The sequence below is a fragment of the Homo sapiens genome, chromosome X, assembly GCF_000001405.40.
Source record: "Homo sapiens chromosome X, GRCh38.p14 Primary Assembly".
NCBI classification, from domain to species: Eukaryota; Metazoa; Chordata; class Mammalia; order Primates; family Hominidae; genus Homo; species Homo sapiens.
Window position 1 is genome coordinate 111727068 of NC_000023.11, and position 27767 is coordinate 111754834.

Here is a 27767-nt window from a genome sequence, read left to right on the forward strand (position 1 = left end):
CAGATTTGTATTTTCATGGTCTAGGGAAATATGAAGCAATTGAAGAGATCCAAGAAGATAGAATGCCATCAAGATGAGGGTCTCTGTGACATACAGACTGTATTTCATTAATAATAGTTAGCCCTAATGCCAGTATTGCAGAGAGCAGAGCTCTTTCTAGTTGAATGTTTTTAGAAAGACAGATTAGTTCTATTTAACTACAGAGACTGACTACTTAGGTATTAGTGAATAGAGAGTTCTAGTTTCCTTTCTCTTTATTCTTAGGAATTCATCTCGGTTTATAAACAGGCACAACATGCCGGGCCCTAAAGTTGATTTTTACCCAGGCCCAGGTAAAAGGTGCTGCCAGAGCTATGATAACTTCTCTTATAGATCTCGGTAAGTATTGTGTTGAAAGTCAGAGAAAATTGGTAAGTCTGATTTCATTGCTGAACATTAATGTTTTAAAAAGTGTCAACTTTGAGATATTTGAACTGTTATTTAGAAATTAGGAACAAGTTACTATATTTCATCATTTTTACTTTTTTATTATTTGAACCACTTAAGTTCATTTAGACGTAGTCACCGCCAGATGAGTTGTGTGAATAAGGAGTCCCAGTATGGATTTACCCCAGGGAATGGACAGATGCCCAGGGGCTTGGAAGAAACTATTACTTTTTATGAAGTTGAAGAAGGGGATGAGACTGCTTATCCAACTTTACCTGTGAGTGGATCAATGCTTTACTCAAAAAGCTGTTTACTTTTTTCATTTATTTTTTTGAAGTAAAGGCAATGTGGATAAATTTTAGATTTTGTACAAATAACCAAACAAAGCCTTTTCTGGAAAATGAAAATGAGAAAAGAGACATTTTCTCCCAGCTGTTCCTAGAGAAGGGAATAGAGGTAGACTTGATAATCTTGCCTATAGAGTATGGGTTAATATTTTCTATTTTCTTGATTTTTACTTCATATTTTTTGTATTCTAAACTGCATGGAAAACATTTAATTACAGAGTTCTCTTACAATAGCAGTTCACATTGTTAGGCTAGTTTTTAAACTGCCTTTTAAAACATCCCTCTAGCTTTTTTTTCTGACTATATAGTGAGAACTGCAGTGTGTGTGTGTCTCTCTGATACAGAATCATGGAGGTCCCTCTACAATGGTTCCTGCTACTTCAGGATACTGTGTTGGAAGGCGGGGACATAGCTCAGGCAAACAGACTTTGAATTTAGAGGAGGGCAATGGCCAGAGTGAAAATGGTGAGTCAATTACAGTTAAATATTTTTTAAAAGATTCTTGTGGCATTAGCACATCAGGCCAGTGAAGTAGACCAATTTGGTTTTGGCGTCTCTCTCTGTTCCAGTAGCTTAGTTCTGAAAGATTTATATAAGTTCTTAATGCTTGCTGGGTTTTTGAATATGTCCTGGTATTTCTCAGAAGAGTAGACTTCTATTTCATTAGGCTGCTACATTGTTATAACTTGTTTTCAGCTCTCTGCATAGGTCTTTAGTGAGTTTTGACTTGGTGTCAGATATCAGTATGGAAAACATCTATTCGTTGTTAGTAGGGCACTATTGATAGTTGTCCTCACCATTTGTATATGTTAGGCTTTTCGTGTGACTGGCTATTATTTTTTAAGACTACTATGAAGTAACTATTCGATAGTTACTTCATACTATGAAGTCTATTTGATCTATAAACATTACTCTTTATTGAACCCTACGTGATACCCACTCTACTAAGTCATTATATTCATAATATAGTCCTTCGTGTGCTCTTCTGAGGAATGTGCTGTCCCTATTTTACATATGAGGAAATTGAGATTCAGAGGGTAAATGACATGGCTAAGGTCATATCCTTGGTAAATGGCAGAGATATAATTTTTTGTAACTTTTATTGAGATATAATTTACATATCATACAATTCAGCTATTTAAAGAATACAATTCAATGGTTTTTTATTCAGAGTTGCATACCATCAACACAATTAATACTAGGACATTTTTATCACCACAATAGAGAAATCCTGTGCCCATTAGGAGCCATTCCCCATTTGCCCCAACCCCCAGCCCTTGGCAACCATCAGTCTGTTTTCTGTCTTTATGGATTTGCCTCTGCTGGACATTTTTTATAATTGGAATCGTATACACACACATAGCCTTAACAGTTTTTATGTTGACTCCTACCATGGAATGTGTTTATTTTTACCTTGTTACTTTTAAAAGATACTGTATATCCCTATTGAAACAATTGTGGAGCATTGAGTGGCTTAAGGAGGTGTCAGGCATTCCTAATGACTTGACTTATGAATAAGTTCCTTATTTTCTTGTACTCTTTTTTTCTACTAGTGTAGAAAAAAAATAGATATTTTTAGGAATTTAATGAGTAAAAAAATCTAGTGCAAGAATGATCTGTGAAAACTTTGTACGTGTGTGCATGCGTGTGCTTAAGGACATTTACTGTCTGCTCTCTTATTTAGATGACCCTTTTGTCTTTTAGCTCTATGGGTAGTGTGGCATATTTGAAATAACCAAATCTTTGCTCCCACCTTAAATCTGGAGGAGTTTCATGCGTGTGTGTTTGATAAGTGGTGTGTTTAAGAATCAAATTTAGTTTAGAACTGCGGGTTTATATTTGGTGGAAAACTGTCCGATTGAGTATTGACTTTCTCTGCATTTCAGTGGTACAGAAATCTTAAAAGTACTTCAGTCTACTGAGCCATCCTTTGAGGACACACTCATTTTACATGTATTACTTACATGAAACAGATTGAAAAACAGATGAGGCATACATGTTCCCTTAATGTCCACCTAAGGAAACAGTGGATTATACTCATACTTTATAGACACCATTGAGTATTTAGTATGTGTAAAGCACTATGCTAAGTTACTTTCACTTCCATTAACCATCCTCAAAAGGCCTATGAGCTAGGTACTGTTACTCCATTTTACAGTGAAGAATTGAGGCACAGAGATTAAATAACTTGCCTAAAGTCATGTAGTTAATCAGAATTCAAATCTAGGCAGTCCTCACTCCAGAGCCTATGTGCTTAATCACCACACTGTAGCCTCACTGGAAAAATTGGACACAACTGAGTTTTCACTTCTGCCTGACCTCTAAGAGCTAAGTGGATTTTCAGAGGAGAAATTTGTACAGCTTACAGCTAGTCTGTGGCTTCAATATCTGTTGACTAGTGTGAAAGCTCATATCACTTTTCAGGATGTATGCATTTTAGTTTTGAACATATAACCATAAAACTGGTGGAAAAAGCAAGTGCTGGCCATTTGGCTCTGCTGAGCTAAAAAGACCTATATAAACACATTTCTTCTGTCTTGTCTTTTTTCCCCAGGGCGATATCATGAAGAATATCTTTATCGTGCAGGTCAGTAAGATCTAGAAGTGATCTGGCATTCATCATTGTTTATAGAATTTCAAGCTATAAAATAATGCTCATTTTTTACTTTGGCTATATTCTCTAGAGCCAGACTATGAAACTTCAGGTGTTTATAGCACAACTGCATCTACAGCAAACTTGGTAGGTATTTAATAATAGCAAAGAGTTATAGCTCCTACTATGTACTAGGGCACTGTTAAGAGCTATACATATAAATGTATTTAAATCAGAACAACCCTGTGAGGCTTAGTATCATTCTCATTTTGAAGATGAAATTGAGACAGAAATTAACTCGTGTTCTGGAACTAATATATTTAGAGATATTCTAACATAGGCAGTAATGATCTTTTAGAAGGTTTTATTATGATTTTTTTATTAGAATGGATGATACATCTCACTCAATATAACAAAAGTTTGCTTCTCCTTTATGCTACATGTCTAGTAGAGGTCTGTAGAAGGGCTTGCTCAGGTACTTAGGCTGATGGAAATTCATCCACAATTGCCAAGGCAGGAAATAAAATTCGGTAAATGGTGCACTGGCTCTTAGAGTTTCCACTAGAGGTGATACATGTCACTTTCTTTTCCATTTCACTGGCCAGAGCAGGTCCCACTGAAGAGTCTTAACTTTTCTGTGCTGGAAGGCAAAAAGAAACATGTTAACAGCGCTAAGAACTATATCATTCAACTTGCCCTCCCTCTCATAGGCAGAATACTTGTTTCTGTCTCAAAGGAGGCATCCTAAAATGTCCCATTCAGTGTAATCAAACTCAAAGCCTAGGATTTCTGGGCTATGTGTAGTACTTGTTATATTGGGTCCAGATGTAGCTTCTTGTGATCTTGAGACTTAAAACCAAAAATACAGAGGTTTTATTTTTTCCCCCTCCCTCCCCAGTTTACAGTGCTGAAGCAGGGACTGAAATTTCTATTCATAAAGGGAGAAAAAAACAGTTATTGGCCTGTAGCAATTCTGAGACCTTCATGGGCAGACGTTGTAAGGGCCCCCAACATACTCATGGGACTCTTCCCTGGAGGAACTCTCGTTCATTTTCTGGGGCTCTTGGTTACTCCCAAGGCCCATCCTTCCTTGGCAGTGTTTGGAGTAGGCATTGGAGAATAATCCTTCCTTGGCAACCGAGCAGCTTTCTAAGCTTGCTACTTACAGAAGATTGGAGGCCCAAGGGTGGTTTTATCTCAGTTGAATGGTTTTAGTTCTGGCTCGTGATTTCTTTGGCTGTAAGATTAATTTATTCTGCTTCTGTTTGATTTCTTTTGGTTTCATGTACCAATAGCCATACTACAGTTCTTTTCTATAGATATACTACTAAGATTTGCTATAATTCTTTGTGGTTTTATCCTTATATTTCTGTCTATTTGATTGCAAGTGGCTTGAGTTTATCAGGCACTGATGGAAGAGCCATGCATTTTGGACATTTTTCTACAAGCCATTTTGTTGAAGTGCAAGGATTTACTAGGTGTTACATCCTTAGTTGAACTCTAGCTTTGAGACATCTTAATACACTCGGGTTTTAACCAAAGAGTTCATTCTTGCTGCGAGGTCGAGTTTTCACTGTTTGTCGTTGTTCAAACCATTCATCAATATTACCTTTTATAGTTTAGGGTTGAAACAGTTGTTCCTTCAACCCTGTGAGTCCCTGTATGCAAGGAATCTATTCCCTTTCATTCCTGCCTGCAAACTACTAATTCTCTCCTACATACACCTGTCTTAAAATAACTTGCTTTAGACAATGCCAACAGTTATCAAAGCACAATACTAACATCATGTCTTCTAAATTGCTTACCCTAAGAGCTACATGTTCATAATCTCCTTCTCAATTAGGATTTTGTTATAGCCGTACCCTACTTCTAGTTACCAATTTCTGTTTTAGTCAAGCTAGGTTATGCTGCAGTTAACAACCCCCCAAAATCTCAGTGGCTTAACTCAGGAAAAGTTGTTCTTGCTAATGTTATATAGTTCAATGCGAGTTGGCAGCAGGCTGCCAGACTATGACTGTTCTTCATAGTCACCCAGGGACCCAGGCTGATGGACACATGCCATCATGATCATCACAGCAGGGCAAAAGATACAGAAATTGAACACTGACATTTCTGGTCATATTTTATTGACCAAGTAACATGGTCATTCTTGACTTTGGATGGAGCTGGGAAGGGCAATCCTACCATCTATTCAGGAAATCTGGAATATTTATGAAGAACTTGAATAACTACCTTATATTCTCTAATTATGACTAAACTGTGGCAGCTTCATGTACTAAATTTTTGTTTTTACTGTTTAGACAATATACCTTAGGAAGGAGAAGAAAACTCTGATACGTAATTCTCTTTCTGTTCTTTCTCCTTCCCTTACTTTGCTCCTTCCAGAGAAAGTTTTTTCCCCCATTTCCTGCCACCATTACTATTCTCATATCATGTGCTTTTGATATCACCTCTTGAAGTAGCCAAGTAAGAATCTTACCACAAGGGATGACAAGAATACTTTTTTTCTGTTCCTTCAATTTCACTTGTCACATGTTCCTTTTTGTTCTGAATTTAAACAACCTCAATAGCTTTCAATCTCTTCATATGTTCCAAGCCCTCTGCCCCCATCACCAAATCCATAGCAAATTTCTATTGTTGCTAAAATAAAGGATAAATGTCTTCAGAATTATCAGCATACATTAAAAAAAAACTCTTTGTCTTTAATTTTTAATTTCAATAGGTTTTTTGGAGAACAGGTGGTGGTTGGTTACAATGAATAAGTTCTTTAGTGATGACTTCTGAGATTTCAGTGCACCCATCACTTGAGCAGTGTACCACTGTAAGCAATGTATAGTCTTTTATCCCTCACCCCCTTCCCACCATTTCCCCCGAGTCCCCAAAGTCCATTGTATCATTCTTATGCCTTTGCTTCCTTAGCTTAGCTTCCACTTATGAGTGAGAACATATAGTGTTTGGTTTTCCATTCCTGAGTTACTTCACTTAGAATAACGGTCTTTAATTCCATCTGAGTTGCTTCAGATGCCATTATTTTGTTTCTTTGTATGGCTGAGTAGTATTCCATGGTATATATGCACCACATTTTCTTTATCCACTTGATGATTAATTGATGGGCATTTGGGCTGGTTCCATATTCTTGCGATTGCAAACTCTGCTGCTATAAACATATATGTGCTAGTATCTGTTTTGTGTAATGACTTCTTTTCCTCTGGGTACATACCCAGGAGTGGGATTGCTGGATCAGATGGTAGTTCTACTTTTAGTTCTTTAAGGAATCTCCACACTGTTTTCCATAGTGGAAAACAGTGTACACAGTTGTACTAGTTTACACTGCCACCAACAGTATAAAACCGTTCCCTTTTCACCACATCCATGCCAACATCTATTTTTTGATATTTTTGATTATGGCCATTCTTGCAGGAGCGAGGCGGTATCACATAATGGTTCTTATTTGCATTTCCCTGATAATTAATGACGTTGAGCATTTTTTCTTATGTTTGTTGACCATTTGTATATCTTCTTTTGAGAATTGTCTATTCATGTCCTTAGCTCACTTTTTGATGGGATTGTGTTTTTCTTGCTGATTTGAGTTTCTTGTAGATTCTGGATATTAGTCCTTTGTCGAATGTATAGATTGCTAGATTGTGAAGATTTTCTCCCACTCTGTGGGTTGTCTATCTGTTTACTCTGCTGGTTTTTTCTTTTTGCTGTGCAGAAGCTTTTTTGCTTAATTAAGTCCCATCTATTTATCTTTGTTTTTGTCCAACGCAGGACTCTTTGAATAAAGATTTCCAGGCAAAGCCTTCTAAGAAATCATGAACATTTATTTCTACTTCTTATTTCCATGTCTAACACTCAAATAAATGTTTCTCTAGAAGCATTTGGTATTCACTTGGGAACTTCTGAGCCAGGGCAAATGTTTGCTTTTTGGCAGGGGCTTTGGCTATACTTGAACACAGACTTTGGAATTGTCCATGTTAAGTGGGGCTCACCTTTTCACAGTAAGGTACTTTTTGTTGTTTGCTGTGATTACCTTTCCCTGTTCTTTCTGTGCTCTTACTAATGTAACCAATCTCTGCTGGTAGAGTTTTTGCTGCCATGACAGTCTATCATGCATGAGTCCAAGCCATTCAAAATCATTTTTACTTTTAGAAAGACAGGGTCTTAAGCCAGAGGAGAATGATATTTGAATCTTACAATATCTATTAAATCCCGCTTAGATAAAACGCAACTGAATAACCAGTTTACCCTTGTACCAAGCTACATATTCAGATAGAATGCCTTTTTTTTTTAAGCAAAACTATTGTTGGTCCTATGGTGCTTCAAGCTTTTAAGGCAAAGATCACTGAAAGACTGTTTAGATTTCAATTATCAGTTACATTTTAGTATCTACATCAGGACTTGAGTTAGATGTGTTGAGGATTTCTGTAGATATGTAACAAAACAGTCACCTACATCACATTTTAGAGTGATAACTTTTAGAGCTTTGTCTTAGGAGTCACTTCCAAATTTGAATTTTTTCAGGACTGATCACTTTCATATAGTTTTAAAATATGTTGAAACAAAGTTATTGATGTGTTGTTTGTTTTTTTATTTAACTATATTTTTGTATTAAAGTCTCTTCAGGACAGAAAGTCATGTTCTATGTCTCCTCAGGACACAGTTACCTCATACAACTACCCCCAGAAGGTAATCCTCATAGTGTTATTAAGCAGTTACAATGGCCTGAACACAGAAAAATGAATTTCCTCTTTTCATTTACCTTCATCATACTTCAAAGCAACTGCTTTTGTTCCTTTAGGTATTATTGTACCTTCTGGTGTCTGACACAGTGATTAGTAAATTAATTCAACAAATTATTGAGCATCTACTGTGTTCCAGACACTGTTCTATGTGCTGGCTTTAGATTACTCATAGTCTCCTGTGAGCCTCTTTTATATAAAGAGTGAGTTAATCTAAATTACCCATCAATTCTGTCTCATTAACTGAAACTTAATTTTAAAGCTTTCCTGTAGAATGGAGAGTCAGCATTATAAAAAGGTAGCTGAAACCATAGGAGTAAACAAGATCATCCTGGGCAAAGGAAGAGATTGAGAAGGGCATCTAGAACAGAGCCCATGGATTATCAAATTTTAGAAAATGGGCAGAGAAGGACCATCCAAGAGGGAGGAAAAGCACGAGAGAGGAATATTATGGAAGCCCTAGGAAGAGAATGTTTCAAGGAGCAGCCAGGTGTCAGTTGCTGCCAAGAGGTCAAGCAACATAAGACTTAACAAAAGTCTACTAAGATTTGTTGACATAGAGACCACTGGTGACTTTGAATACAGTTTCAGAGAACCAGTGTGGGTAGCAGCCACACTGCAGTTGGGTGGGAAGAAAATGGAGACTCCCAGTGAGGACAGTATGTTCAAGAAGAATCTGTTACCATTTACTGAATATCTTTCTGTGCACAGCCCTGTACTGGGTGCTGTGGAAAAATAGTTTATTCTCTTAAGGAGCTGTGGCCTAAGCAGAAAAAAAAAAATACAGTCTTACAATGTTATAAAAAATGCAAGGCACCTTTTCTCTTTAAAAAAGAGAAAAGTGTAGGCCAGATGCAGTGGCTCATGCCTGTAATCCCAACACTTTGGGATGCTAAGGCGGGCAGGTTACTTGAGCCCAGGGGTTCAACACCAGCCTTGGCAACATGACAAAACTGTCTCTACTAAAAATATAAAAAATTAGCTGTGCGTGGTGGTGCGTGACTGTAGTCCTAAGCTACTCAGGAGGCTGAGGTGGGAGAATCACTTGAGCCTGGAAAGTTGAGGCTACAGTGAATGAAATCATGCCACTTCACTCCAGCCTGGGCGATGGGAGTGAGACCCTGTCTCAAAGAAAGGTGTTTGCTTGTGTGGGGCAATATATATGCATGTAAAAATGAATTACAAACCTTTGGAATAATATGCAGGAAGCCCAGAGGTTAACTGTTTGGGGAGCGGGCAACTAGGCAGACAGGACAGGGCTTGGAGGGAAACTTTCCATTGTATACGATTTAATACTTGATTTTCAAATCATATTAATGTATTACCTTTTTAGAAATAAATGAATTAAAAAATTAAAGCTCTCAAGTGACCTAAGATCTTCTGAAAGAAATAACCTTCCTATATAAGGTTTACATAAAGATTGACTTTCAGTGTTTTAGTTTTCTAAACTAATTACTATTTTCTGAAGTTTAGGATCAGATAATCTACTGTTTGAAAAACCAAACTTAAGAGTTTTGAACTTTCTTCCACACTTACAGATGATGGGAAATATTGCAGCAGTTGCAGCTTCCTGTGCCAATAATGTTCCAGCTCCAGTCTTATCTAACGGTGCAGCGGCTAATCAAGCTATTAGTACCACTTCAGTTTCCTCACAGAATGCTATACAGCCTCTCTTTGTATCTCCACCTACACACGGCAGGCCAGGTAGGTTATTAGCAGATGCTTACTTTGGAAGCCTCTTTTCCTATTCATGAACATGCACATCCAGCTGTTCTGGTAATTACATACCATTACTTTAATTTCCAGAATTAAATTTATTTAACCTACTTAATTATGTTCTGCCATTGAGGAATCCATGAGATTTGAGAGTCAGGGATTCAAGTTTATTCTTGAAAATTTCGTGCTGGTAAGATTTTATACCTTTCATTTTGCTACCTGCTGAATTAGGGGACTTGTACTAGTTTCTCAAACTTTGAGTTAAGTTTTATCATATAAGAGTGAAGATAGCGATGCTTCTCACCTTATAGCAAACTTTTCAGGAATTTATTCTATAAAACACGTTCCTTTGTAATGAATAATTGTCCTGTAAATATCATAATAAAAGATACAGGCTCTGGAATTTAAAAGATCTGGGTTAGAATCCTGGTTTTACAACTTATTGTGTAATTTTGCACAAATTATTGAAGCTTTTTATCTGTGGCTTGGGGGCACTGATAGTACCAATTCATGAAGTGGTTGTGGACTTTTCAGTAAGTTAATAAAATTTTAAATTATCAGCAGACTTCTAGGAAGGTGGTGGCAACAACAGCATTAGCTTTTCTGAGTCTCAAAATAAAAATGGAAATAGTGAAGTCAAAACCCATGACACCTACAAAAATCTAGGTGACAAGGTATCCCCATGAACCCCAGGATTTAAGCAGGTAGGGACAAACCACTAGTCACAAGACCTGCATGCTATCAGGGTCTATGAGGGAGCAAGAACATAGAAGCATTGAGGATGTTGTCTTATGTACCTGAGAATTCCAATGAATAAGAATTCACTGAAAAGTAGGGCAGACAATTTGGAAGCAGCAGCCAAAACTGGGAAGGGATTTGGTCTCTCTAATACTAGGTGAGTGCATGAGGCACATAGTAGAAGGACTTGAAGGGCTTAGAACAGTTTAACCTCTAACTCTTCAAAATTGACCTGCCAGAGTTCCCTTTTAGGACAGTATTCCTCACTGGGAAGAAACTGCTAAGAGTGGAATCTGAATTGATCAGGATAGAGAAAAGAGCAGGTCAGGGAAAAGAACAAAAGAAAAGGATTAAGGTCAAATGCTACACAAATATATCTTAAGGAATAAAAAGCAGAATATCCCTACAGACAATGAAAACATGTTAGAAATGAAACACTAAACAGATCTAAATAAACTAAAAACTGTGACAAACTATTTCAAAATGAGCTAAAGATATTAATAATACAAAACATTAAAGAATAACATAAATCAGAATTAGAAAAACTCACCTGAGGTGATAGAACTCAGGAAAGAATTATAAAGGGGAGAAGGTCATTTTAGTAATGGAGACTAAACTGTAATGAGCTTGAGCAAATACAGGTTGAGTATTCTTTATTCAAAGTGCTTGGGACCAGAAGTGTTTTGGACTTAGGATTTTTTTAGATTTTGGAATATTTGCATTATGCTTGTTGAGCATTCCTAATCTGAAAATCCAAAATTCTCCAATAAGCATTTCCTTTGAGCGCTATGTAGGCACTCAGAAAGTTTTGGAATTTGGAGCAGTTTGAATTTCAGATTTTCAAATTAGGGATACCCACTCTGTATGTACAGCAGATAATGCTTTAAGAGAAATAAGAGTGCTTTAGGCTTTAAATTTTTTTTGTTTGAGACGGGGTATTGCTCTGTCACCAAGGCTGGAGTGCAGTGACATGATCATGGCTCACTGCAGCCTGGATCTCCAGGTTTCAAGCAGTCCTGCTGCCTCAGCCCCCCAGTACCTGGGACTATAGGCACACGCCACCACACTCGGCTAATTACTGTGTTTTTGTAGAGACAGGGTCTTGCCATGTTGCCCAAGCTGGTCTTGAACTCCTAGGCTTAAGTGATCCACCCACCTCAGCCTCCCAAAGTGCTGGGATTACAGGCATGAGCCACCACACCCGGCCATAAACTTTAGAAAAAAAAAAAAATGTAAGAAGAGGGAAATCTAAAATTGAAAAAAAAAAATGAAGATAAAGATTTAAAAGCGACATATTTGAAGTTAGGCAAATGAGATCAAACACAGAAGTCTCTGAAAAAACCAAAGTAAAGGAACAAAATAATACTAAAAGCTATAATTTAGAAAACTTTGCTGAAGTTTTGTATTAGGTTGTTTTCACACTGCTATAAAGAAATGCCTGAGACTGGGTAATATATAAAAGAAAGAGGTTTAATTTACTCACAGTTCTGCATGGCTGAGGAGGCCTCAGGAAACTTGCAATCATGGCGGAAAGTGAAGGGAAAGCAGACACCTTCTTTACAAGGCACCAGGAGAGAGAGAAAGACCAGGAGAAACTGCCATTTATAAAACTATCAGATCTCATGAGAATTTACTCACTATCACAAGAACAGCATAGGGGAAACCGCTCCCATGATCCAGCCACCTCCCACCAGGTCTGTCCCTTGACACCTGGGGATTACAACTCAGTTTACAATTCAAGATGAGATTTGGGTGGGGACAGAGTCAAACCATAAGTTTAAAAAGTTTTAAAAGTACATACTTGAAACAGCACCCTGAATACCTGAGAATATTGACCCAGAGCAATAAACAGCAGAATATTCTAATAAAGTTGCTAGAGTTAAAAAGTCCTAAGTATCTAAGAGTCTATGGCATATAAGAGAAATACAATGATAATCATCAAACTTTGACAGCATTGCTTTATGCTAGAAGACAGTGGAATAACATTTAAGATACTCAAGGAAAGAATATGTGAACCAGCAATTTTGTATCCAGTCAAACTGATTTTCAAGCACAAAGGGCAACATGTGAGAAACCAAGAATATTCTTCCCATGAGCCCTTCCTGATGAATCTGTGAGAACTGTGCTGTCAAGCAGGGTAATCACTAGCCACGTGTGGAAACTAAATTAATTACAGTTAAATAGAGTAAATCTGTAGTTCCTCAGTTGCATTAGCCACATGTGGCTAGTAGCTACTGTATTGGACAGCAGAGATATAGAATATTTCTATCATCACAAAAAGTTGTATTGGACAACAGTGTACTAGAGAATGAACTTTGAGTTTTAGGCTACCAGAACAATTAGAGACATTGTTCTGGTATTGTGTACCAGAACAATTAGAGGCAGAACAATTAGAGACATAAGACGTGATGGTAAGTATTAAATACATAGTTACCTGTAGAAGTAAGACAAATGAGGGCTGAGAAGTTGAGACTATACTATGTAATAGCCTTATGTTTGGAGGGTGTAGATGTAGTTATTTTTTTAAATGATAGAATTGAGAGAATATGGGCAAAGCATTTTTTCATGCTCTCAGTCACATCAGATTCTTTAGTTTAGATGCTCAGAAAGTTATTCCGAGACTATGTAATGTGGGCTAAAGCAAATGAGTAATGGTGGGATATTCTAATTTTATCCCGTGTCCTTGTGAACCAGGATTCTTAGTGTGGAAAAAAGGTAATGCAGATGTTATAGAGGTTAATTAAAAGCTTTTATAGTCTTGAACTTGAATTAGAAGTATCAGTATGAACTTGAGATATTTTATCTTTAAATATATATATATGTTTCCTCGCTGTGTCCACTGAAAGGCCTGAAAACAATAAGTATCCCTAGCACCGAGTTTGTGGTCTTAAAATACCATTTATTACTTTTAAAAATAAACGGCTCTGTGGAGAAATGGCTGATTCCAGGTCTGAGCAGGAAATGTTCAAGATGAGCCTGGAACATCTTGTCATACCAGATAGCAAGGAACATATCAAAGAGTATAGGCATTATGTCAGAAGGACTCAGAAACCATCACAAAGAGAGATTCCCACTGGCCAAAGATGGAACAATTTGAGCCTCAACAAAGATCATTGCAATAGATTGGAATATACCAAGTATGTTGAATATAAAAGTTCTTAGTGATATTTTAAAAATTGCTTACTTTAAGAGGATGATAGGAAATCAATTAATTTTCTTGAAAACTGGAACATGAAATAATCAAACATTTATTCTGCCTTCCTTATATGAACTATACTACTGAATAGCCAAATAGATGAGGGGAAGTATCTTTTTGTAATAGTATTCTAACTAATCAATTAAAAAGTGAAAATAATTTTTCAGTTCTTATTAAATGGATGGACATTAAACATCAGTAGCTACTAAGATTGCAAAGTCAGTCAAACATTAGCTATGGATGTTATAGATGTCCCAAAGGAATCAGTCCTGAATTTGATTCAGTCTCCTGGATCTAGCTGCCTATTGACAGGAAATAAAGAATAACATGTTGGATTGCAGCATGAGTATGTAATCTGCAAAATCCAGACTATGGGAAGCTTGTCAGGTCAAAGGGCCCAGGTTCTTTAAAGCAGAACTTGTCAGGAAATGGGTGGAGGAAGGACCAATAGATTAAGACATTCAAGAAATATCCAATTTTTTAATGGATGAGACTAAAAAACTGCTGTTCAAGGATGCACATTTGAGTGACAAAACTCTGAAAAGACCCCAAGGAAGTGATTACTATTAAAGTCAAAACAACAGTTGGTTATGGTAGGAGGGAAAAGTATTTATAGGCATGGGTAGTATCCACATTAAAATAACTCATTAAGCAGTATATTTGATTTGTTTGCTGTATCTGTTTTATTTATAAAAAGATAAAGTGAGCAGGGCATGGTGGCTCATGCCTGTAATCCCAGCACTCTGGGAGGCCGAGGTGGGCAGATCACCTGAGGTCAGGAGTTCGAGACCAGCCTGGCCAACATAGGGAAACCCCATCTCTACTAAAAATACAAAAATTAGCCAGGCATGGTGGCACATGCCTGTAATCCCAGCTACTCTGGAGGCTGAGGCAAGAGAATCACTTGAACTCAGGAGTCGGAGTTTGCATTGAGCTGAGATCACATCATTGCACTCCAGCCTGGGCAAGAGCGAGACTTTGTCTCAAAAAAAAAAAAAAAAGTGCTTAGCACAGTGCCTGGAACAAAAACATACAATAAATGTTAATGATGATATATTTTTTTCACTGGAAATGTTAATGTAGACACTACTTTTACTACTTTGTGCTAGTTGTAAGGGAAAATGTTTGCTGTCTGCTTCTAGCAGCTGTCTGAGCTTAAATTCAAGTGACAGATGAAGCAAGCATTGTAATGTTTTATTTATGTGGAATCATTGAAAGATTACGATTTAAATGCCAGATTTTTCTAAAAATGCATACTGCCTTCATTTATTTGCTTTTTGTTCTCTCAGTCACTTAATGAACCTCAACTATAGATCTTCTTTACTAGATCTGGCTGATTTTTAGTTGCTCTTTGTCATTCTTGTCAATCCTATAGATGAAACGACTGATTTTTCCCACTTTGTTCTTCATATGTCTCTCTGGCAGGCCCCTTCCATCCTTAAGTGACTGCTAATCTGCCAGGTAACAAGATGTGATGATTGCCTTCAAATATGAGTCTCCTTTTAGGCATTAAATCCTGTCAACTTCAAACTCTGGGTTTCAGTAAATGTTCCCAAGTCTTTTGCCAGGGCTGGGATCAGTGACTGTCCCTGAGTGCAAAATTTAATGGAATGCCAAAAAAAAAAAAAACAGTAATCAAGATAAATAACACTTTAATTCATCATTTTTAAAAATAAAGATTAATATAAAAAATTTGAGAACAAAGTATCAATTGTAAATAAAGACAGGATCTGTGGGTCAGGTTTAAGGTGCATTGAGTAAGGCATATACCCTTGGGGTCATACAAGTACAGGGTTGGATCCTGTCTTTACTGAAAATTTTGATGTTGTATTCATAATAGCTTTCTTTGTATTAGTTTTGGTAGCCCCTTAAATTTTGCACTGGAGCATCTCACCACACCTTGGCCTTGGCCCTGGTCTGTGATTTCTAGAGAAGCAGCAGTATCTTATTGTATATATTTATGTTCTCTTCTGAAGTGTCCTGAAGCAGACTACAGCTACATGGATGGGGGAAATCAGCATTCTGAATGCATTACGTTGATTTCTACTAGTATTTTAGAAGACGTTTCTATAATTCTTGAGACATCCCTTGAAGTGTATCTGTTAAGCCTGTGGAGCTCTTCTTAAGTCTGAGGATGAGAAGCTCATGCATCTCTATAGAAACTTGAAATTGTAAAAGCTTTTACTTAGAGGGTTTATTGTAATACTGTGCATTTATAAGGAAGGTGAATTCAGACAAAGTAACCTCCAAATTGTGTCTACTCTTGATTCTTTCAGGCCCGTGAGAATGTATTTAGCCACTTCTATGTCTTGGTTTTTACCTAGTGATCATAATCACATTCTACTATCTTCAGCTAATTGCCTTTCTCCATTTGCTTTTTTTTAAAAAAATGGCATGATACGTTTTCAGTGCTAGTTTAAAAGGAATAAGAGCAGAGCTTTGTTGGAGGAGCCATTTTATTTAAAAAAAATCTGTATCTAGAACATTTGGGGATATTCTGAAAATTAAGTTCCCCTCCCAAAACTGTAAAAGTAGAGATTTCGAAATATATGACAAAACTCCAAAACAGCTAGTTGAGCAAGCTTTAAAAACTTACTGTTTAATTTAGATACAGTATAATTCATTTTTTTGGTGCCCAGTTCTGTGAGCTTTGACAAATGCGTAGAGTTGTGTAACCACCACCACAATCAAGAGATAATTGCATCACTCCTAAACAGTTGTTTATCAAGTTTTACATCACCTGAAGACACAGACCTATTACTGTTAGCCTGTAAATGTACAAAAGATAAGATGAGTATATTGTTAGTACTGGTCACTAAATGGAAACAATGTGGATTATGTCTTGCTAAAATATCAGAATAACAAATTCAGCTTGTGTGAATTGTTCCTATGCTCCTATGCTAAACTCAGTGTGCTAAAACTCTGACTTTAAACATTTATAGAATGATAAGACTAAACTTTCTATGTTTCTCAGGGTTAAAATGATAATGCAGATAACAAAATGATGAAATTTTGTACTTGGATTTAAGCTGGCTAAAATTATTCAGTTAAACTTGAAGGTTTGTATCATTCATCTTTTGTAAAAAAAAAAAATTAACAAATTTGCGTGTTATGTCATACATATATGCAGGTATGTGTTTTTACTAGGTTGTAACCACATTGTTTCCTTTATTGTCATAGAGGATTAATATTTAAATATAATTACATCTGAATTTCTTATGTCAAAAACTTTTAAATATTGATTATTTCTAAGCTATAGTAACAGGTATAGAAAGCTAAAGGGATAAGATATTGTATCTAACCTGTTTTTAGATTCTGTACCTCCTTAGAAATGGAACGTTCATGATTTAAAGTTCCCTATATTCCTGAGATGCTACCAGTAGAAACCTTCAAGGATTGCTAAAATCTGTAGTCTGTGCACTTTAATCCATCTCTTATTAGCTTCTGCATTTTGTGATTTGACTGAGAGTGACAGATTGCTGAAAACATTCTTAAATTTGCATTGGGTATTAAACTAAGTAAAAATTTTGCTTTAGTTATGTTTTATTTATGTACCTGTTAGCTAAATGTTCAAAGTCTGATAGTCAAAGCTCTGCCTCTTCCAGTTTTTTCCCTTTTAATTTCCAATACTTTTCTTAAATCAAAATGACCTGTTATGAACTAGTTCTCCATTGGTATGTCTAAGAGAATGTAGACAATTCACTGTCCAAGTTTTTTTTATACCCAAACCTTAAGAATTAAGAGTTCTTTGACCATACTGGAGACAAGAAAAGTAGATGAGCCTACTGTTCATAAGGTGTTATAGTTGTGTATTGCTACTTTATGTTTTGTTTCTTTGTTAGTGATTGCCTCACCATCCTATCCATGCCATTCTGCTATTCCTCATGCTGGTGCCTCTCTACCACCACCACCACCACCACCACCACCACCACCACCACCACCACCTCCTCCTCCTCCTCCTCCTCCTCCTCCTCCTCCTCCTGCTCTTGATGTGGGAGAGACTTCAAACTTACAACCACCACCACCACTACCACCTCCACCTTATTCCTGTGATCCAAGCGGCAGTGATTTGCCTCAAGGTAAGTAGATTTTGAGACTTAGGTGAGGGATCTGAGACTTAAAAAATATTGTTAGAGCATATCTCTCTTTGGTTGACCTATTGGGGAATGGGGAACCAAATGAAAATTGACTTGAGAACACAATACTGGAAGTGACTAAGGAAAGGAGCAATTAAAAGCTGAAAACTGAGAATATCTTCTACATAATCAACAAGTGGATGGTTGAGTTGACGTGTGCTGCTGTTTTGTTTTGTTTTGTTTTGTTTTGGTAGCTACATGTCTACCCTGAAGAAGATTCTCAAATGAATATCTTTGCTTTTCTTAACTGTTTTTCCTTGCAAAACAGGACTTGGTATCAAATTTTTCTTTATTTCTTAAATTCTTTCCATAAGTGCATGAATTATTGCAGTCTTTTATATTTAGAATTTCAACTGAATTTTAAAGATTTGGGGGAGTGGGGATTAGGAGTCTTATCTGCCTTGAATTTCAGCTGTGTTTTCTTAAACATCTAAGGAGAGTAGTTTTTCATTGGAAGTTCTTTATTACTCAGTTTGGCATATTTCTCAAGAGAATTATAGTTGAGAATTGTTTGTAGCTTATACTTTCTTGCTATAATATTTTCTTGGTTTTTCTAGCTGCTTCTCTATTTTTGCTTTTTTTTTTCCAACCCCTAATCACCAAGATTTTCTTTAACTCCCTTCTGTTTTTTCCCTACCTTTAAACTTCCCTGTTACTTCTGTGTAGTTTATTCCTAAATGTAGCTAGCCTTGGCATCAGAAGTTTTAGTTTCTTGTCTCCAGATACTTGCTAGACATTTTCACTTAGCTTTTTAGTTTTCATTTCAATAATGAAATTCCTCATATTTATCTTTTCCCCAGACCACACAAAACATTGACTTTTCTCCTTGGTTTTTTATTTTGTTAATAGTGGTATCATTTCCACCTAATTTTCCCAATATCTAAACCCTGATTTCTTTACTACTCTCCCTTCCCTTACCTACCTGTACCCGAGATGTACTTAGTCACCACATAATGCTGATTTTGTATTTTTCCAATATTTTACTATGACAATATTCAAACATTCATCCAAGTTGAATTTTAAAATGAAGTCATATCTATCACTTAGATTCTATCATTAACATTTATACTTTATCACATATCTATCCATCTTCCCCTCCATCCATCTCTATTAATCCATCTTCTTTTTGATACATTAAGTAAATTGTAGACATTTGTACACTTCCCCATAAAAACTTCAGGATACATATCATTAAGTAGTTTTTTCCTTTTGATGTGCAGTTTACATATAATGAAATGTACAAAACTTAAATGCACATTAGCTTACTTTTAACATATGCATGCATGCACTTGTGTAACCCAAATCCCTATCAAAGTATAAAGTATTAACATTGTCCCACAAATTTCCCTCATGCTCCTTCCCAGTTTTTCCCGTGCTCTCCCTAGAGGCAACCACTGTTTGGACTTTTTTCTACCATAGATTAGTTTTACCTGTTTTAGAATTTTATAGAAATGTAATCATATAGTATATAATCTTTATGGAAAGCTTCTTAAACTTGGCATAATTTTGAGATTTGTCTGTTGTTGCATGTGTCAGTAGTCCATTTGTTTTCATGGCCGAGTAGCATTTCATTGTATGACTGTTCCACAGTTTGTCCATTCTCCTGTTGGTGATAGATAGCTGGACTGTTTCCAGTTTGGGGCTGTTACAAAAAAAGCTGCTAACAAAAAAAGCTGCTATGAACATTCTTGTAGAAGTCTTTGTAAACAGATGTTTTTATTTCCCTTGGGCAAATACCTAGCAGTGGAATTGCTGGGTCATAGAGAGATATGTGTTTACTTTTATAAGTAACTGCCAAACATTTTTCCAAAGTTGTACCATTTTACACTTCCACCAGCAGCGTATGAGAATTCCAGTAGTTTCTCTTGCTCACCAACGTTTATTGTCGCCACACTCCTTAACTTTATCCATTCTGGTGACTGATCATGTTGTAAAAAAATCTATTTTATAGAGCAGTTTTCTGTTTCTTGCCAAATTGAGAGGAAGGCATAGGGATTTCCCATTTTCCACCGGCCCCCACATGTCCGTAGCCTTCCATATTATCAGTGTCCCCCACCATACCAGAGTGTGGAATATTTGATACAATGATGAACCTACCTTGGCACATCATTATCATCCAGAGGCCATAGTTTATATTAGTGTTCATTCTTGCTCTTGCACTTTCATGAGTTTGGAAAAATGAATGATGACATGTATCCTTAATTATAGCATCACATGGATGCTATAATGGAGCATTTCTACCCCAGAAATCTGTGCTCTGCCTATTATTATTCATCCCCCAACTCCTGTCAATCACTGATTTTTTACTGTCTCCATAGTTTTGACTTTTCCAGAATGGCATATAGGTGCAGTCATGCAATATATAGCCTTTTCAGAATGGCTCTTAGCAATATATATTTAAGTTTCCTCACCAAATCATTATCTGAATGTACCACAGTTTATAGATCCATTCACCTACTGAATAACATCTTGGTTGCTCCCACTTTTGGTTACAGTTGCCCTAAACATCCATATGCAAGTTTTTTTGTGGAAATATATATAGAGAGATGGAGTCTTGCTCTGTCACCCAGGCTGGAATGCAGTGGCGTGATCTCAGCTCATTGCAACCTCTGCCTCCCGGGCTCAAGCAATTCTCCTGCCTAAGCCTCCTGAGCAGCTGGGAATATAGGCACCCACCACCACACCTGGCTAATTTTTGTATTTTTAGTAGAGATGGGGTTTCACCATGTTGGCCAGGCTGGTCTTGAACTCCTGACCTCGTGATCCACCCACCTCGGCCTCCTGAAGTGCTGGGACTACAGGTGTCAGCCACCACGCCCTGTGGAAATATATTTTTAACTCCTTTGGGTAAACACCAAGGATTACAATTGCTCTATTGAGTAAGAATATGTTTTATTTGGTAAGAAACTGTCAAACTGTCTTCCAGAGTGGCTATACCATTTTGCATTCCCACCAGCAATGAATGAGTGTTCCTGTAGTTCCACATCCATGCCAGTATTTGGTATTGTCAGTGTTCTGGATTTTGGCCATTCTAATAGGTGTGTAATGATATCTCATTGTTTTAATTTGCATTTCCCTTATGAAATCCGACGTAGAGCATCTTTTCATGTGCTTATTTGCCATCTATATATCTTTGGTGAAACATCTGTTAAGATGTTTGGCCCATTTTTAATTCAGGTAGTTTACTTATTGAGTTCTAAGAGTTCTTTGTATATTTTGGGTAACAGTCCATTATATCAGGTATGTCTTTTGCAAGTATTTTTTCCAAGTCTGTGGCTTGTCTTTTCATTAAGTGTCTTTCACAGAGCAGATGTTTTTAATTTTAAAGAACTCTAACATATAAATTATTTCTTTTATGGATCATGCCTATGGTATTGTATCTAAAAAGTAATCGCCAGTCTTGGGGTCATCTAGATTTTCTCCTATGTTATCGTCTAGGAGTTTTATGTTTTGCATTTTACTTTTAGGTCTGTGATCCATTTTGAGTGACCTTTTTGTGAAGTATGTAAAGTGTGTGTAGATTCATATTTTTGCATGTGGATGTCCAGTTGTTTGAGTACTTTTTTCATGTGCTTATTGGCCATTTGCATATTTTTTGTAAAGTGTTCACATATTTTGACTACTTTCTTTTTTATTGGGTGCTTGTTATTGAGTTGCAGACGTTCTCTGCATATTCTCTATGCTAGTCTTTTGTCAGGTATGTTTCGTGAATATCTGCTCCTATTCTGTGGCTTATCTATTTTCTTCATGGTGCCTTTTGATGGGTAGAGGATTTTAATTCTGATGGAATCTAATTGATCATTTTTTGGTGTGTATTGCTTTCTGTAATCTAAGCAACTGGCCGGGCATGGTGGCTGGCACCTGTAATCCTAACACTTTCGGAAGCCAAGGCAGGCAGATCAATTGAGGTCAGGAGTTCGAGTCCAGCCTGGCCAACATGGTGAAACCCTGTCTCTACTAAAAATACAAAAATTAGCTGGGAGAGGTGGTGAGCACCTGTAATGCTAGTTACTCGGGAGGCTGAGGCCGGAGAATCACTTGAACCCAGGAGGTGGAGGTTGTACTGAGCCGAGATCATGCCACACTGCACTCCAGCCTGGGTGACAGAGCGAAACTCTGACTTAATTTAAAAAAACAAAAAAAACAACAAAAAACCTTGGCCTTATTTGTCTTACTCCAAAGTCGTTATGATTGTTTCCTATGTTTTCCTTTAAAAGCTTAATTCATTTAGTTTTATGTTTAAGTCCACTATTCATCTCAAATTCATTTTTGTGGATGGTGGAGGTGATTTTTTTTTCTTTATGGATCTCCAGTATTCCAGCAGTACCATTTGTGAAAAAGATTTTCCTTTCCTCGTTGGATCACTTTGGTGTTTTAGTCAAAAATCAAATGACTGTTTTAAGTGCAGGTCTATTTCTGTGCCCTCTTTTGTTGCATTGATCAATTTTTTAATCCTTACATCAGTACTATACTGTCTTTTTAGTAAGGTTTGAAGTAAGGTAGGGTCATTTGCATGTCTCTTACACTATCAAATTTTACCAAAAAAAAAAAAACGTCTGGAAATTAGGGATTGTGTTTATAATCTATGGCTCAATTTGGGGAGAATGCCAATTCTTAACAGTATGGTCTCTTTGAATTCATGAACATAGTATCATAGTATACCCGTCAATTTATTTAGGTTGCGTTTGGTTTCTCAACTTTTTTTTTTTTGGTGTAGAAGTCTTCTACATCTTCTGTTAAATGTGTCCCTATGTATTTGGGTTTTTGGAACTGTAGTAAACAGAATTTTAAAACTTTTATTTTCCAATTTTGTCCTGTACATAAAAATAAAATTGATTTTTGCATGTTACCCTTGGCTGATTTATTAAAAATCTGTGTTTCACAGAGTGTTTTTAAAAAATATCCACTGCCTCTTTCCTAGGTCATGCCTTTATCACCTTGTCCCTGAACAGTTAGAGTAGCTTCTCCATTGGTCTCACTGCTCTGGTACTATTCCACTTTGTGTCTGTTCCTAGCTCAGAACTCTTCAGTGATTCTTTGGTTTCTGTAGATTAAAGTTCAACAGACTAAGTATGGCATTTATGACTTTCCACAATCTAGTCTCTATTCCAACCTTATCTCTTTCTACTCCTATGTGAACTCTATGTAGCAGGTTTTTTTCTCCTAAGCCTTTGCTGGCGTGGTGCTTCAACTCAAATTCTTTCCCCATTCACTTCCATCTAAGTTCTACTAACCCCGAGAATATATCATGTATTCGTTAGTAGGTGCTCCCCATTCTCCCTGGCCTTAGCAATCGCTCCTCTAGTTTGGCCATGGATTTGCCTATTCTGGACATTTCATGTAAATAGAATCATACAATATGTGGGCTTTTGCAACTAACTTTTTTTCTCTAAGCATACTATTTTCAAGGTTCATGTTGTTGCATGTATCAGTACTTTATTCTTTTTTATGGCCAAAAAAATTGCATTGTATGGATGTATTGGCATACTCCATTTTGTTGCACTTTGCTTTATTGTGTTCTACAGATATTGTGATTTTTATTTTTTTTACAAATTGAAGATTTGTGAGAACCCTGTGTCAAGCAAATCTATTGGCACCATTTTTCCAACAACATGTTCTCCCTTTTCTCCCTTCATTTCTGTCAGCATTTTTTTAGCAGTATTGTATTGTATTGTTTGTTTGTTTGTTTATTTACTTATTTATTTATTTATTTATTTATTTATTTTGAGATGGAGAGTCTCTGTCGCCCAGGCTGGAGTGCAGTGGTGCAATCTTGGCTCACTACAACCTCTGCCTCCCGAGCTCAAGCAATTCTCCTGCCTCAGCCTCCCAAGTAGCTGGCATTACAGGCACCCGCCACCATGCCCAGCTAATTTTTTGTATTTTTAGTAGAGATGGAGTTTCTCCATGTTGGCCAGGCTGGTCTCGAACTCCTGACCTCAAGTGGTTCGCCTGCCTTGGCCTCCCAGAGTGCTGAGATTACAGGCGTGAGCCACTGTGCCCGGCCAGCAATAACATATTTTAAAATTAAGGTATGTACATTGTTTTCTTAGACCTAACACTATTATACTCTTAAAAGACTACAGTATAGTGTATAAGCATAACTTTTTTTTTTTTTTTTTTTTTGCAACGGAGTCTTGCTCTGTTGCCAGGCTGAAGTGCAGTGGCGCGAGCTCAGCTCACAGAAACCTCCACCTCCCAGGTTCAAGTGATTCTCCTGCCTCAGCCTCCCGGGTAGCTGGGATTACAGGCACGTGCCACCACACCTGGCTAATTTTTGTATTTTTAGTAGAGACGGGGTTTCACCATGTTGGCCAGAATGGTCTCGATCTCCTGACCTCATGATCCATCCACCTTGGCCTCCCAAAGTGCTGGCATTACAGGCCTGGGCCACCACGCCCGGCCATAAGCATAACGCCCAGTACATAAGCATATTTACTGGGAAACCAAAAAATTGGTGTGACTCACTTCCTTGCAATATTGGCTTTATTTTTTTCTGGAACCAAAGCCATGATATCTCCAAAGTATGTCTGTATCATATTTTATCTATTAGTTGAGGAACATTTGGGTTGCTTTTACTTTCTGGCTATTAATACTGCTACGTGCGTTTGTGTATACAAGTTATTTGATACATACATGTATCAAGTAGAATCCCATGCCACTCATGAATTTATTTCCTACTATTTTTTTAAAATATTATGTAGCTTGAGCATTAGGCTTTATGCTGTGCTCCTATATAATAGTCAAAATACAAGCTGATTTTAAAAAAAAATGGCAATAAATGTATTTGTATGTGTAGGGAGTCTCCAACTTAAAGAGGGATTTTCTAAAAGTTCATCTGTTAGTGGAACTCAGGTTATATTACTTTATAAATAAAAATATGTGTGGATCTCAGGTCAAACAATAAAAATACATTTAGAGGTCCAATTGGAATGCTAAGAACAGTTTTTGTTCATTTATGAAATAGTTTAGTTTCATAACGTCAAGAGAAATTACCTTGCTCATTGCCCTTCTCTTTGGAGTTCTGGTGGTGGTATGTCAGTCATGGTAAATAAAAACAGGATGAATTGTTTCATATTGTTCTAATTGTCTCAGCAGGCATCACTAATCTCTGTCAGTGAGTATTAGTCTGTACTGTATATAAGTGCTAGTAACTGAGGACCAAAATGATTGTTTATGTTCTAGAAGTGTATTAAAGTAAAAATTCCATCTTGAAACAAACAAGAAAATGCCTTTATTGGATTCTTCCTAAATATTACCAAAGTGACATTCCTGTAACATCTGCCTACAATTAAGATTAGAAATAAAAATTTTATTTGGTAACTAAACCGTAGATGAGAAAATAATTTTACCTATATTGGTAGGTAAGTAGTCATTTACTATAAGGTAAAATTGAGAGTGGTATTAATGTGGCAAGATTACATTGATATCTTAATAATGCTCAAACAGAAAAGCTTTTTTTTTTCTTTTTTGAGATGGAGTCTCGCTCTGTCACCCAGGCTGGAGTGCAGTGGCATGATCTCGGCTCAGTGCAACCTCCATCTCCCAGATTCAAGTGATTCTCCTGCCTCAGCCTCCTGAGTAGCTGGGATTACAGGCACCCGCCACCACGTCCGGCTAATTTTTGTAGTTTTAGTAGAGACAGGGTTTCACCATGTTGGCCAGGATGGTCTTGAACTCCTGACCTCAAGTTATCTGCCCATCTAGGCCTCCCAAAGTGCTGGGATTACAGGCATGAGCCACCGTGCCCAGCCAGAAAAGCTTTTAAAAGATAATTCTAATTGCTTATGTCAGTCAAGTCACTAATTTTTTTGATTTTTAATTTTAGATACAAAAGTTTTGCAGTACTATTTCAATCTAGGATTGCAGGTAAGTGCCATGTTAAAATTTCTTTGATAAGCCCTATTTTCAAAGTATAGACCGTTTTGATAATCAGACTCTTGAACTTCGAAAGCCAAAATCACTAAGGGGACTAAACATTTTAATTCTGTCTAAGAGATCTCTGAAGATGACATAGTTCAGTTGTCTGCTTTAGCCTCCCAGTGCTTTAGTTTCTCTTATAAAATAGTCGTTAAACTGAAGAGAGGGGTACTGGGCTGTAAGCAGCACAATCAGCATATATTAGATGAGCCATCATATTTAACATTACATGCTAACTTTTCACTGTGGTGTTCTGTCTCAAAATAAATGAATTATCCTAAAATATTTTTATGACTATCTTTCCATTTTATGTGAAAATTAGACAAATTTGAAGAAATTTAAGGCACTGTATTTTGTTCTTTGAAACCAATGAGAACAAAGACACAATGTACCAGAATCTTTGAGACACAGCTAAAGCAGCGTTTAGAGGGAAATTTATAGCACTAAATACCCACATGAGAAACTGGGAAATATCTAAAATCAACACCCTAACATCACAATTAAAAGAACTAGAGAAGCAAAAGCAAACAAATTCAAAACCTAGCAAAAGACAAGAAATAACTAAGATCAGAGCAGAGCTGATAGAGACACAAAAAACCCTTCAAAAAATCTGAATCCAGGAGCTGGTTTGTTTTGAAAAGATTAACAAAATAGATAGACCATTAGCCAGGTGAATAAAGAAGAAAAGAGAGAAGAATCAAATAGACACAATAAAAAATGATACCACAGAAATACAAACTGCCATCAGAGAATACTATAAACACCTCTATGCAAATAAACTAGAAAATCTAGAAGAAATGGATAAATTCCTGGACACACACACCCTCCCAAGACTAAACCAGGAAGAAGTCGAATTCCTGAGTAGACCAATAACAAGTTCTGAAATTGAGGCAGTAATTAATAGCCTACCAACCAAAAAAAGTCCAGGACCAGATGGATTCACAGCCGAATTCTACCAGAGGTACAAAGAGGAGCTGGTACTATTCCTTCTGAACGATTCCAATCAATAGAAAGAGAGGAACTCCTTTCTAACTCATTTTATGAAGCCAACATCATCCTGATACCAAAACCTGGCAGAGACACAACAAAAAAAGAAAATTTCAGGCCAATATCCCTGATGAACATCGATGTGAAAATCCTCAATAAAATACTGGCAAACCGAATCCAGCAGCACATTAAAAAGCTTATCCACCACAATCAAGTTGGCTTCATCCCTGGGATGCAAGGGTGGTTCAACATATGCAAATCAATAAATGTAATCCATCACATAAACAGAACCAATGACAAAAACCACATGATTATCTCAATAGATGCAGAAAAGGCCTTCTATAAAATTCAGCACCCCTTCATGCTAAAAACTCTCTATAAACTAGGTATTGATGGAATGTATCTCAAATTAATAAGAGCTATTTATGACAAACCCACAGCCAATATCATACTGAATGGGCAAAAGCTGGAAGCATTCCCTTTGAAAACCGGTACAAGACAAGGATGTCCTCTCTCACCACTCCTATTCAGCATAGTATAGGAAGTTCTGGCCAGGGCAGTCAGGTAAGAGAAAGAAAGAAAGAAAGGGTATACGAATAGGAAGACAGGAAGTCACTTTGTCTTTGTTTGCAGATGACATAACTGTATATTTTAAAAACCCCATTGTCTCAGCCCAAAAGCTCCTTAAGCTGATAAGCAACTTCAGCAAAGTTGAAGTTGTGTGCAACACAAAATCAGTGTGCAAAAATCACAAGCATGTCTATACACCAATAATAGCCAAACCATGAGTGAATTCCCATTCACAATTGCTACAAAGAGAATAAAATACCTAGGAATCCAACTTACAAGGGATGTGAAGGACCTCTTCAAGGAGAACTACAAATCACTGCTCAATGATATAAGAGAGGACACAAAGGGAAAAACGTTCCATGCTTATGGATAGGAAAAATCAATATCATGAAAATG

At 36.9% G+C, this 27767-nt stretch overlaps 1 protein-coding gene across 36 annotated transcripts in view; it reads left to right on the plus strand.

Annotated features, from left to right (window-relative positions):
- ALG13 (ALG13 UDP-N-acetylglucosaminyltransferase subunit) overlaps positions 1-27767 on the plus strand; it is a 79480-nt gene that overhangs the window by 45898 nt on the left and 5815 nt on the right. For 13 of the 36 annotated variants that reach the window (XM_011531031.2, XM_006724698.4, XM_011531028.3 and 10 more), the window contains 10 exons: positions 265-378; positions 547-703; positions 1118-1238; positions 3328-3360; positions 3458-3513; positions 7301-7372; positions 7984-8055; positions 9647-9812; positions 17601-17837; positions 25723-25763. In XM_011531031.2, the coding sequence (XP_011529333.1) occupies positions 265-378; positions 547-703; positions 1118-1238; positions 3328-3360; positions 3458-3513; positions 7301-7372; positions 7984-8055; positions 9647-9812; positions 17601-17837; positions 25723-25763 (1069 nt within the window). Of the gene's footprint in view, positions 1-264; positions 379-546; positions 704-1117; positions 1239-3327; positions 3361-3457; positions 3514-7300; positions 7373-7983; positions 8056-9646; positions 9813-9914; positions 10015-16732; positions 16759-17600; positions 17838-25722; positions 25764-27767 lie in introns of those variants that run through there. The other 23 variants (NR_148693.2, NM_001257237.2, NM_001324293.1 and 20 more) reach the window with 12 other exon arrangements.